At 58.8% G+C, this 11,268-nt stretch overlaps 1 protein-coding gene and 1 long non-coding RNA gene across 5 annotated transcripts, besides 8 other annotated features; one reads left to right on the plus strand and one right to left on the minus strand.

The window, feature by feature from the left end:
• Positions 832-1,518: an enhancer, noted in NCBI's record as "H3K4me1 hESC enhancer chr12:52399414-52400100 (GRCh37/hg19 assembly coordinates)". NCBI's record gives its function as "activates a minimal SCP1, AML or CMV promoter by ChIP-STARR-seq in primed H9 embryonic stem cells {active_cell/tissue: H9 hESC(primed)}" and the evidence as "EXISTENCE:reporter gene assay evidence [ECO:0000049][PMID:30033119]".
• Positions 1,204-1,263: an enhancer, noted in NCBI's record as "active region_6388". NCBI's record gives its function as "activates an Ori minimal core promoter by ATAC-STARR-seq in GM12878 lymphoblastoid cells {active_cell/tissue: GM12878}" and the evidence as "EXISTENCE:reporter gene assay evidence [ECO:0000049][PMID:35858748]".
• TAMALIN-AS1 (TAMALIN antisense RNA 1) lies at positions 1,452-2,857 on the minus strand. Its single transcript, NR_146770.1, has one exon. It is a non-coding gene; the product is annotated as a TAMALIN antisense RNA 1 (long non-coding RNA).
• Positions 1,969-2,118: a silencer, noted in NCBI's record as "silent region_4478". NCBI's record gives its function as "represses an Ori minimal core promoter by ATAC-STARR-seq in GM12878 lymphoblastoid cells {active_cell/tissue: GM12878}" and the evidence as "EXISTENCE:reporter gene assay evidence [ECO:0000049][PMID:35858748]".
• On the plus strand, positions 2,148-11,091 carry TAMALIN (trafficking regulator and scaffold protein tamalin). 4 transcript variants are annotated; one of them, NM_181711.4, is made up of 8 exons: positions 2,148-2,467; positions 4,392-4,441; positions 6,083-6,137; positions 6,241-6,343; positions 8,889-8,982; positions 9,079-9,145; positions 9,337-9,403; positions 9,896-11,091. In NM_181711.4, exons 1-8 carry the CDS (start codon positions 2,222-2,224, stop codon positions 10,399-10,401), a joined length of 1,188 nt encoding a protein of 395 aa, NP_859062.1. In that variant the 5' UTR covers positions 2,148-2,221; the 3' UTR covers positions 10,402-11,091. The 4 variants fall into 4 exon arrangements, with proteins under 4 accessions (NP_859062.1, XP_047284395.1, XP_005268748.1 ...); XM_005268691.4 differs by lacking the exon at positions 2,148-2,467 and adding an exon at positions 3,024-3,962; XM_047428439.1 differs by lacking the exon at positions 4,392-4,441.
• Positions 2,891-3,576: an enhancer, noted in NCBI's record as "H3K4me1 hESC enhancer chr12:52401473-52402158 (GRCh37/hg19 assembly coordinates)". NCBI's record gives its function as "activates a minimal SCP1, AML or CMV promoter by ChIP-STARR-seq in naive H9 embryonic stem cells {active_cell/tissue: H9 hESC(naive)}" and the evidence as "EXISTENCE:reporter gene assay evidence [ECO:0000049][PMID:30033119]".
• Positions 4,187-4,840: an enhancer, noted in NCBI's record as "H3K4me1 hESC enhancer chr12:52402769-52403422 (GRCh37/hg19 assembly coordinates)". NCBI's record gives its function as "activates a minimal SCP1, AML or CMV promoter by ChIP-STARR-seq in primed H9 embryonic stem cells {active_cell/tissue: H9 hESC(primed)}" and the evidence as "EXISTENCE:reporter gene assay evidence [ECO:0000049][PMID:30033119]".
• Positions 4,841-5,494: an enhancer, noted in NCBI's record as "H3K4me1 hESC enhancer chr12:52403423-52404076 (GRCh37/hg19 assembly coordinates)". NCBI's record gives its function as "activates a minimal SCP1, AML or CMV promoter by ChIP-STARR-seq in primed H9 embryonic stem cells {active_cell/tissue: H9 hESC(primed)}" and the evidence as "EXISTENCE:reporter gene assay evidence [ECO:0000049][PMID:30033119]".
• Positions 5,495-6,148: an enhancer, noted in NCBI's record as "H3K4me1 hESC enhancer chr12:52404077-52404730 (GRCh37/hg19 assembly coordinates)". NCBI's record gives its function as "activates a minimal SCP1, AML or CMV promoter by ChIP-STARR-seq in naive H9 embryonic stem cells {active_cell/tissue: H9 hESC(naive)}" and the evidence as "EXISTENCE:reporter gene assay evidence [ECO:0000049][PMID:30033119]".
• Positions 6,149-6,801: an enhancer, noted in NCBI's record as "H3K4me1 hESC enhancer chr12:52404731-52405383 (GRCh37/hg19 assembly coordinates)". NCBI's record gives its function as "activates a minimal SCP1, AML or CMV promoter by ChIP-STARR-seq in primed H9 embryonic stem cells {active_cell/tissue: H9 hESC(primed)}" and the evidence as "EXISTENCE:reporter gene assay evidence [ECO:0000049][PMID:30033119]".

Consider the following 11,268-nt stretch of genomic DNA (forward strand, 5'->3'; position numbering starts at 1 on the left):
GTTTCAGGCAAGGAGACATGTCCATTAGGTAACCCTCTGTGATAGCTGGGGTGGCTCCTTCACAGAGGAGGTTGTGCAAGATGCCCTTTTGCTGGGTCCCTTTGGGGATAAGCAATGGAATGAATGGAATATACATCATTGCCTCTCCGCTTTGCGTCTCCCCCTCCCACCCCCCACAGATGCTGTCTGTCAGGAGCAGGCAACAGACGGTCCTGGGGTCCATCTGTGCTAATGCTTCACAATAGAGTCCCATGTTTCCCCACTGACACCCCCTCGGCCCCTCAGCTGATGGCCACTTGGTGGTGCCAAGGCGGGAGGTGGGAGGAGGGAGAAGAAGGCACTAAGAGAGCTACCTCTTAGCTCCTGGCAGTCCTCAATCCACCCCGGCCCCCCACCCAACAAGCATCCTGCCATCTGGACTTGTGCAATCACTGAGGGGCGGAAAAGCACCCTCTTCCACCCACACCTCTTGTAGGGGATGGGGGCCTAGAGGACTGGGGGTGGGGAGGAGAACACAGAGTCAAGGAGACTAGAGAAGAAGACTGAGCCAGGCGCAAGAACTGAGACAGGCAGGAGGCAGAAAGTCTTTCCTGGCCTCGCAGGTGGACGTGGCCATTGCCCCTCTGTGCTCCTTATGCCACGTGTCTAACACAGCACATGTGCAAGGTACCACTCCCTACCAGGCCAAGAGCCTCTGTAACCCCAGTGCCCAGCCAGTACCTGGCACACAGCAGGGCTTAAATGTTGGACAACATCACAGAGTGGTTAGATTGCAGGCTCTGGAACCAGGCTGCCTGGCTTTGAATCTCAGCTCTGCCGCTGAGTGACTTAGGGCAAATTACTTATCTTCTCTGGGCCTCAGTTTCCTCATCTGTAAGGGAGGATAATGGTGCTTATTTCGTAGGGTTGTTATGAAGACCAAGTGAGTTAATGCATGTATGTAAAAGGACACACAGAACAAACAGTGTGCATAGCACATGCTAAGTGCTCAATAAATGTTAACTGTGAAGGCATAACAGATTTGGGAAGACTGGGGGAGGAGGGAGGGGACAGACAAGGGCACCGCATTGCCGCCTCTGCTTCTTGGCCGATGGGTGTTGGGACATGGAGTCCCCAGCCTGTGCTGCTGACGCCCTGTGGTGGCTAGCCGCTCTTTAGACACCAGACGCTGCCTTCCACTTCCTCCTCTCACTTCTTATTCGGGCACCACTGACGACAGAGACTTCGGCTGGGCCATTCCCGCCTCTCCTACCGCCTGGCAGCCATGGTAACAGCCTGGGGGATGGTCCCTAAGATGGGGTCAGAGAACGGCTGAGCATGGCCATCCCCCCAGCCCTGAACTCCCACTCAGCCTGGGCTCATCCCAACCTCCTGAGTCAAGTCCACAGTAAGCGTCTGTCTCCTGGGAAGGGGGATCTGACCCCGGCATCAGGAGCTGAGGAAAGGTGTTGCCAGCAGGGATCACTCAAGCCCCTTGGAGGGGACAGGCCAGAACTAAGCCTACTGCTTTCAGGGTTTCCACCTCTTCCCTTCTTCCTAGACGTGCGAACAGGGGGCAGCCTCTTTCAGCTCTTCTGGGGCAGCTGCGTCAAGGGAAAATCCTGGGCCCTCTCCCTCCCTGGGGGCTTCTGCGCAGTGAGTTCAGGGAGTCTCCTCCCTCCTCCATCGGGCCTCCACCCCTACTCCTGCGCAGCCCCGCTGCCGCTCTCCCTGCCCTGGAGTCTCCTGCAGCCCCTTGGATCTCCGTGACTCTCCCTACCTCCCCGACTCCCCAGGCTTCTTACAGTGACCTCTTACCGTGCCCCACTCCATGAATCGCCAGAGCTATTCGTCCCTAAATTTCAAACCTTGCGCAATGTCCCTTCACAGACCCCTCCAGGTATCACGCAGCCCCGAGCCCCGAGCCCCGCCCCGGGGGCCTCATCCCGCCCCTTCGCGTCCGCGGCTCGTTTTCCCCCACTGAGCGCCCAGCTCCCGCAGTTTCCCCGGCCGTCGAGCGCCGTGGGCGGGGCTCCAGGGCGGCGGCGCCTCGCGGGGAGGGTCCTCCGTGCTGGGGGCGAGGCCACCCGAGGCAGCTCCCCGCCCGCCCCCAACCCCGCCCCGCTCTCGGAGCCTATAAAGGGAGGCGACCCGCGGCCCGCCCGGCTGGCATCCCCCAGCCGCCGCCAGCCCCGCCGAGGGGAGCCAGCGCCGTCTCTGAGGGGCGTCCGGCGCCGGAGCCATGACCCTCCGCCGACTCAGGAAGCTGCAGCAGAAGGAGGAGGCGGCGGCCACCCCGGACCCCGCCGCCCGGACTCCCGACTCGGAAGTCGCGCCCGCCGCTCCGGTCCCGACCCCGGGACCCCCTGCCGCAGCCGCCACCCCTGGGCCCCCAGCGGACGAGCTGTACGCGGCGCTGGAGGACTATCACCCTGCCGAGCTGTACCGCGCGCTCGCCGTGTCCGGGGGCACCCTGCCCCGCCGAAAGGTGCGTCCCCCGCCCGCCTTCAGGATCTGCTCAGCCCCTCTCCGACTCCCTACAGGGCCTGCTGACTCCGCAGTGCCCTCTCCTCGGCGTCCGCGGAGTCCCCCACCTTCTTCCCCGGCCCGCTGGGTGCCTCGACTCCCCGCGTTCCCCGCTGCTGCGAAGGCCGTGGCCCTCGCCTGCACACCGCGCCCAGGCTCGGTGGCTCTTAACTCCGCGCCCCATGCACGCCCCCTCTCTCCCTCCTTGACTCCTCCCAGCACCCCCCTTCTCCTACCCGCTCCATCTGGCTTTCTGCCCCCCATGCCCCGCCTCCCCGTGGCCAGGTGTCCTGGGTCCCCAGGAGCCCCTCGCCCGAGGGACAGAGACAGCCCCAGGCAAGTTGAAGGTCCGAGAGCCCCCGGTGGGAGAAGCGGGCCGGTGGCTGCGCCGCGTGCGTTCTCACTCTGAGGAAGTGCGTGGGGAGCCGCTGACTCCGGATAGCACACCCTTCCGAGGGGACTCCCCGATTCCTGGGCTGGGGGCCTGCCGCCTGGCCCCACGTCTGACGTACGGGGCGCGAGGGCCACTGCTCCCTGGACTTCTGTCGGAACCGGACGCAGTGGGAGGGGTCGCAGGGCGCCCGCGGGGCAGGAAGGATGCGGGCCGCGCCCACCTCTGAGTCCCCTCTGCCAGCCTCTTCCTCTGGCCCCAGGAGACCTGAGGCTCAGAACCTACACAACACCAGGTTAAGAAGAGGGGCCTGGTGGCCTTTCCTCACCCAGCCGCCCTCCTTCGCCCCGGCCCCCAGCTAGCCCCCACACAATGAACAGCTTGTTGAGAATTTGCATTTTATGAAAATCATGTTGAAAGACAAAGGGGTCTCTCTGTGCTGCCCAGTCCTTCCTCCCTGGCCGTTTGGGAACTGTCCCCACCCCTGAGGCCAATCTGGTTCTGAACCTTCTCTTCCTTGCCTTGGGCAGCTTTGGGGGAGGGTTAGCAAAGGCACAGAACAGAAAGGCCCTGGGCTGTGCAGGCTCCAAAGAAAAGGGCTGCTCTGGGACTGGACCTCCTCCCAGGACCAAAAAGTTAGGGAGGGTGAGAGACTACTTTAGTTTATCAAGGACCCTGAAGAGACAGGAACCTTCATCTCTCATCCTTCCTCCACACCCCCCACCACCACCCCTAAAGAACTCCCAGTCTCGGTCCTTTAGTGAGACTTGCTGACAAGTTTGACATCTAAGATGTTTTGTCCCAGAAAGCACAAAATATATGGCAATGGAGAGAGAGACCCAGGTATAGCTGGGCACAGCTGGTCACCTGCAGCTGGGATCCACAACTGGTCCTTGAAACGGCCTGTACCTTAGGAGACCTGGCACCTCTGACCCCACATTCTGGCTGGGATTGCCAGCCCTTCGGGACAGGGTCCCTGACCCCAGCCCTCCCAAGCCACTGTCTGTAGCTGAGAAATTAGATGGAGAGACCCAACTGGCAGAAGGTCCTCGGAGCACCTTGATAGGTGAGCCCAGGGGACACCTATCCTCTGAATCCCACTGGGGAAGAGCCCCTGCCTCAGCTTTGGGAGTCTGGATGGCCTGAGCCTCTACAGACATGGGCCCTAGGGGTGGAGACCATTTTAGAATAATGATCTCCCCACCTGCTGCCAGTGTGGAAACCAGCAAGGGCTTAGAGGTTCATGGATCTGGAACCCAGGAGGATGGTTGTGTCCCTGCAGTCCCAGGTATGAAGGTAAGGCCTGTAGAGAAAGTTGAGGAGTGGTGCCAGTAGTGGCACTTGGCAAATAGTTCCACCAGCACCAAAACAGGTGTGGATGTGGAGCTGGGAAGGGGCAGACAGGAAGTGGGTCGCTGTGTCCAGGGTAACCTCTCAGTGTCTGCTCAAGGACAGTCCCGCCTTACCTGCTCCTTCTGACCATCTTACTGCCCAGGGCTCAGGATTCCGCTGGAAGAATCTCAGCCAGAGTCCTGAACAGCAGCGGTGAGTCACCAACACCCAGCCCCTGCCATGGTCCAAAGGGGTGAGGTGCTGGGTTGGGGGGTGCCAGGACAGCATCTCAGCCTAGCGAGGGTAGTCATTCTCCTAGCCTTTAAACATGGCTCCCCCGCTGGGAGTGAGGGCAGGTGGGGGTGAGGGCTGTGTGAAGGGGGTGGCAGAGAAAGGAGGTAGGGACTTTTGAGTCATTAGGTGCTCTTCAACACACCCCCAGTCCCTGCCAGTTACCCCTCCCTGGGGAGATCTGGATGAACGGATGTGGGAGTTGGGAGGGGGTGTAGGCAAAGTCTATGGGGAACGTCCTAACCCAGGCCTCCTGGGCTCCCCTGAGCCCTCCTAGCCTTGGCAAACCCCACGGGCCCAGACCTTAGCCAGGCTGTGTCCAGCTGCTTGGGGCTGGCTGCCCCTGCCTCCAGAATGTCAGTCCTCTTCTGGTCCCAGCCTGTGGCAGCCCTCTTAGGAGGGATCTGAGCGTGGGCAGAAGTAGGTGCTGACTCCAGGCCCTGGGACCCCACAGTTTCCCTTCTCTACTCATGTCCCATCCCTGATTTGGGCTTGACTTTCTCTAAAATGGATCAGCAAACTGACCTGCTAGCCAGATTGGCCTGTTTGGCCCTTGAGCTAATAATTTTTAAAGAGTTGTAAAAATAAAAACAAATAACAATATATGACAGAGATCATAAGGGGCCTGCAAAGAAAGCCTAAAGTATTTACCATTTGGCCCTTTGCAGAAAAAGTTTGCTGACCCTTCCAAAAAACCCTAGAACATTGGGGTAGACGCGGAACTCCCAGCCACCCTGCTCCCTGCCCCAATAGTACAGAGAGGGGAAAGGCCTGCTGTTCAGAGTGAGAGGGGCTCGAGCTGGAGTGGGGAGGTGCTGCTCAGCATTTGGGGGAATCTCTGGGTCAGGCTGGAAGCGGAGAAGCCTGGTCTCCAGGGCCTTTCCGAGGCTGAGCTACTTGAAGGGGCCTTTGGAGGCTGCTTTAACTGTGCCTCTGGCTGGGCGGGAAGGAAGGGGGTGGGAGTGGGCAGAGGAAACTCTGGGCTCCCCCAGCAGGCGAGGATCTGGAGCAGCTCCAGACCATTGTGTCCAGCGGGCAGGCCTTCAGTGCGGGAAGGGGCGGCCTCGAGGCTCCCCTCCCCCAGCCCCCACATCTGGTGGGCTGGCCCCAGCATAGCTGGGAGGAGCAGCTGTGGTCTTGCTGAGCCTCGTGACTGGCCTCTGGGGGTGGGGCCAGTCCTCTCTCCAAAGCTGTGGAACAGAGGAGGCTCCAGGCTGTGGCTGAATTTCGGGCCTTAGCTAGTCAGTAAGTGGTACTGTAGGGCTCACTGGAAAGCTGGGATGGGGCTAAAAAACTCAGCCGGCTCATCCTTCAGGGGACCGGCCCTTCTCTGTGCTTCCCTCCCACCACTAGAGGCTGGATTGGTTCTCTGTGGCTCCATGAGGCTGATTTCAATTGGGTATGGGAAAGACATTCCAATAATCTGTGATGAGACTGAGCTGTCACTGGAGACAGAGTCCTGCTGGAATGTTCTAGACCAGTTGCCAATATCCAGGGAGGCCCAAGCTATGGGACTTCTACACCTTTTAATCCTAATTGTCTTGACCCCTGTGTCTCTTGCAGGAAAGTGCTGACGTTGGAGAAGGAGGATAACCAGACCTTCGGCTTTGAGATCCAGGTGGGAGAAGCTGCACACAGGGGTCAGGGGGGTTGGATGACCAGCCTGAGGGATGAACGGACTTGTCCCAACCCTGGGCTGAGGGTCCCCTTGTCCATTACAGACTTATGGCCTTCACCACCGGGAGGAGCAGCGTGTGGAAATGGTGACCTTTGTCTGCCGAGTTCATGAGTCTAGCCCTGCCCAGCTGGCTGGGCTCACACCAGGTGGGGCCTGAGCCCAGGACACCCAGGTCTGGGAAGGGGATATGACCTTACTCCCAAGCAAAGGGGGTGAGCAATCTCTCCTGAAATCAATTCCTCTTCCTTTTCCTTCTTTGAGAAGGCCAGAAAGAAGAATGGATAGAATCTGGGCTTTGGATCTAGGCAAATTTGCCATGTACTGTGTGATCTTGCACAGCCCCATCTACAAAATGAGGGTAATAATGCATCCAAACATCACAGTGCGGCAAGGGGATTCCCTGGGCACACTGCCAGGGCCTAATTAATGGTGGATGATGCTGCTGCTGCTCTGATTCCTCCCAGCAACCCTGGCAGTCAGCATGGGCAGGAGCCAGGGAAGAAGCAACATTCCATTAAGTCTGTTTGATATTGGGGATCAGGCCAATCCTGCCCCAAAATGGGCCCAGTGCTGAGGAACCGATGTTACTCCCTTTTAAAAAATTAGAAACTTTTTTTTTTTTTAAGAGACAGGGCCTCAGTCTGTCACCCAGGCTAGAGTGCAGTGGCGTAATCATAACTCACTATAACCTTGAACTCCTGGGCTCAAGCGATCCTCCTCTTGCCTCTGCCTCCCAAAGCAATATGTTACTTCCTCTAACAAGGAAATTATGCTTCAGCAGGAGATCCCTGGATTGAGCAGATCTAGAGTCCCCAGGTTCCAGGAAGGGCAGCCTGAAACTGTATGAATCAATCCCCCCTCCACCATCTTTGCCCCTAAGCCCCTACCTCCTTCCCACTTACCAGCAGCCCGTGCTAGCTATCTTAGTCCATTTTCTGTTACCATAACAGAATACCTGATACTGGGTAATTATAAAGAAAAGAGGTTTATTTAGCTCATGGTTCTGGAGGCTGGGAAGTTCAAGACTGGGTGGCCGCATCAGGTGAGGGCCTCATGCTGCGTTCTGACATGATGGATGGCATCTCATGGCAGGAACGCCTGCAAGAGTGGTGAGTAGGCACACGCAAAAGAGACAAAACATGGGTGATCTTGCTTTATAGCAACCCACTCGCCAGGTAACTAAACCAGTCCTACCAGAGCAAGAACTCACTCCCCAAAAACAGCATGGATCCCTTCACTGGGCAGATCCTTCATGGCCCAAATGCCACTTTTTTTGAGATGGAGTTTCGCTCTTGTTGCCCAGGCTGGAGTGCAATGGCATGATCTCAGCTCACTGCAGCCTCTGCCTCCCAGATTCAAGCAATTCTCCTGCCTCAGCCTCCCGAGTAGCTGGGATTACAGGCACTGGCCACCAAGCCCAGCTCATTTTTGTATTTTTAGTAGAGATGGGGTTTTGCCTTGTTGGCCAGGCTGGTCTCGAACTCCTGACCTCAGGTGATCCACCCGCCTCGGCCTCCCAAAGTGCTGGGATTACAGGTGTGAGCCACGGCGCTCGGCCCCAAATGCCTCTTAAAGGTCCTACCATCTCTCAGCACTGTTACGTTGGGGATGAAGCCTCAACATGAGTTTTGGGGACAAACAATATTTAAATGGTAGCAGTAGCCAAGTGGTATACTACAACTTCTCAAAGTAGTTTCAAATCCACTCTCCCTCCCCATCATCCCTGAAGCATCCACAGCAGGGATCCATACCCCTTTTTACAGATAGGAATGGGGCCCTGACATGGGGCACACTGTGCTTGAGGTCAGGAAGCTCTCCAGTGGTGCAGGGTAGCAGAACTATCCCTCTGGGGGCCAGTCATTCCCTGTGCTTCTCTCCCACCACCAGAGGCTGGACTGATTATCTGTGGATCCATGAGGCCATGCCATGCCTGGGGCCAGGGTCGGTTCCCAGCTGGGTGCTGCTCACCTGCTCTTCCCTGAATTGACTGGGTCTTATGGCCAGCGTGGACTGGACAGAAATAACCAAATCTGAGGGTAGCCCAGGGTCCTGGGTGGGCTTAGCTTTGGGACAGAACTTCTTTTTTTTTTTTTTTTTTTTGAGACGGAGTCTCGCTCTGTCGCCCAGGCTGGAGTGCAGTGGCGCGATCTCGGCTCACTGCAAGCTCCGCCTCCCGGGTTCACGCCATTCTCCTGCCTCAGCCTCCCGAGTAGCTGGGACTACAGGCGCCTGCTACCACGCCCGGCTAATTTTTTGTATTTTTAGTAGAGACGGGGTTTCACCGTGTTAGCCAGGATGGTCTCGATCTCCTGACCTCGTGATCCGCCCGCCTCGGCCTCCCAAAGTGCTGGGATTACAGGCGTGAGCCACCGCGCCCGGCCGGACAGAACTTCTTGAGGGCAGAGTGAGGGTGTTGGGTGTGTGAGGTCCCCACCCTTTGGCTGGGGTGCTGGGCGTGGACAACCTGGTAGTCACTACAGGCCCACAAGAATGGCTGTGGTTCTGTGTGTTTGGATCGAGTATGAGAGATGTCAGAGGAGATCTACAGAGAACCATGAGGAGTTGGAGGAGGGAGTTCAGGAGTATTCCCTGGAGTTACTACCCACCCTTCTCCCCTTTCTGGCTAAGGTAGGAGGCTGGTATTCTAGCATGCCCCATGGAGCAAATCTAACCCCCTTGTCTGCCTGGCAGGGGACACCATCGCCAGCGTCAATGGCCTGAATGTGGAAGGCATCCGGCATCGAGAGATTGTGGACATCATTAAGGCGTCAGGCAATGTTCTCAGGTATGTCTGGGAGCCGAGGTGCCTGAATTCCTGAGCTCAGCCTCTTGGTATTTCCTCAGCCTGTGGCTCACTCAGGCTTTGATTCTCCAACCTCAGACTGGAAACTCTATATGGGACATCAATTCGGAAGGCAGAACTGGAGGCTCGTCTGCAGTACCTGAAGGTAGGGGAACCTAGATAACGTCCAGCCTCCACCCTCCTCTTCCCAAGCCTCTGCCCTGTGGGGGGTCACTTACAGCTGAATCTCCTGTAACTGAAGATTTCTTTTGTCTACTCCCTGATCCCTCGTCTGTACCCACGTCCTGCTAGTTTCCTGCTAGCTTGTGACAGTGGGGTGGGGACTGTCTCTTGCAGCAAACCCTGTATGAGAAGTGGGGAGAGTACAGGTCCCTAATGGTGCAGGAGCAGCGGCTGGTGCATGGTGAGTAGATCCCGGGGTGTGAGGGGCCACTTGTTCTGCTACAGACACCCCATCTGCGCTTCCCCCTCAGAACTGGCGGGTTCTAGTAAAGAACGGTTTACTAGTAAACCTCCACAGTAAAGCAAGGTTTGTTGAGCTACTACTACTTTGGGTACTGCCGCAGCCACATTTCTGGTTATTCTCACACTAGCCCTCTGCAGGTAAGTAACAGATAGTGTCATCTTCACTTTACAGAGGGGAACACCAGGGCTCAAAGAGTTTGTGTCAATTATTTCCGAGGCCCGTTTGTGCTAAGCGGCCCCCATAAGGATCTGAGTGATAATTCCTGATTTGCGGGTGAGGGAAGTAGGGTCTCAGGTTTGTGCCTGGCCAGGGCCACAGAGATGGTCAGCAGGACGGAGCGGGGACGCCCCGCCCATGCCCTCCGACCCTTTGCAGAGGCCACCACGGTCCAGGCCTGACCCGCCCCCTACCTCTCCCGTCTCTGCGCAGGCCTGGTGGTGAAGGACCCCAGCATCTACGACACGCTGGAGTCGGTGCGCTCCTGCCTCTACGGCGCGGGCCTGCTCCCGGGCTCGCTGCCCTTCGGGCCTCTGCTCGCCGTGCCCGGGCGTCCCCGCGGAGGCGCCCGACGGGCCAGGGGCGACGCCGACGACGCCGTCTACCACACGTGCTTCTTCGGGGACTCCGAGCCGCCGGCGCTGCCGCCCCCGCCGCCCCCGGCCCGCGCCTTCGGCCCGGGCCCCGCCGAGACCCCTGCCGTGGGGCCGGGCCCTGGGCCGCGGGCCGCGCTGAGCCGCAGCGCCAGTGTGCGGTGCGCGGGCCCTGGCGGGGGCGGAGGCGGGGGCGCGCCGGGCGCGCTCTGGACTGAGGCTCGCGAGCAGGCCCTATGCGGCCCCGGCCTGCGCAAAACCAAGTACCGCAGCTTCCGCCGGCGGCTGCTCAAGTTCATCCCCGGACTCAACCGCTCCCTGGAGGAGGAGGAGAGCCAGCTGTAGGGGCGGGGGCGGGCAGGGAGGTATTTATTTATTTATTCGCAACAGCCAGCGCTAAAAGAGGGGGAGGCCGAGCCAAGAGGACCCCAGGAGCCCAGAGCAGCGGGAGAGGGTCCTTCCTAGCCTCGGCCCGCCGGGTCGGTTCCTGGCTGGTGTCTGCTGAGGGAGTGGGGGGCCCAGCCCCTTCTCTTCTCCCCCGCCAAACCACAGTGGGAGCTGGGGCAGGGGGAGAGCCAGGCAATCGGGGGCCAAAGATGGGGGTGCTCGCCTACAGTCTGCATCTGTAGTGCCTTGTGGGGTATCCAGGAACACCCTCCCAGCAGGGGATGGGAACCCTGTCCCATGAAGCCCTCTCCTCAGCTTTACTTGCTCCCCCGCCCTTAGCCTTGGGGAGAAATGGCCCGTGGTGGGCTGACCCCCCACCCTCCACACACACAGTTCCATGACCCAGCGGGCCCCCAGGGGCATCAGGTGCTGGTCCTCCTCCCTCCTGGCCTCGACCCCTAAGGGCTTCGCCCCTCCCAGGGGCCTGTAACTAAGTCGGGTCCTGCCAGGCAGGGGGCCTGTGTTCTGTGCCCCTTGGGAGACAGGAACTGGCGAGTTCAGGTGGGGTGGGGACAGCACAGACTGTTCCACCGTTGTGCATATTGTTGCTTCTGAACCACAAACTGTATAAATGGATGGTTTTTTGCATCTGTGTCAGTGTGGTGACTGCCTGAGGGGGAGGATTGGGCTGGGGCAAGCTCTGACTCCACCATCCCAACCCCCGCCCAACGCACACACATCTTGTTTTCTTGCAGCCTGAAGCCAGGGAAATAGGCTGGGAGATTTAAACTTACATGTATGGGCCTGAGCTGGAGGCCCCACGCT

Source organism: Homo sapiens, chromosome 12 (genome assembly GCF_000001405.40).
Source record: "Homo sapiens chromosome 12, GRCh38.p14 Primary Assembly".
NCBI classification, from domain to species: domain Eukaryota; kingdom Metazoa; phylum Chordata; class Mammalia; order Primates; family Hominidae; genus Homo; species Homo sapiens.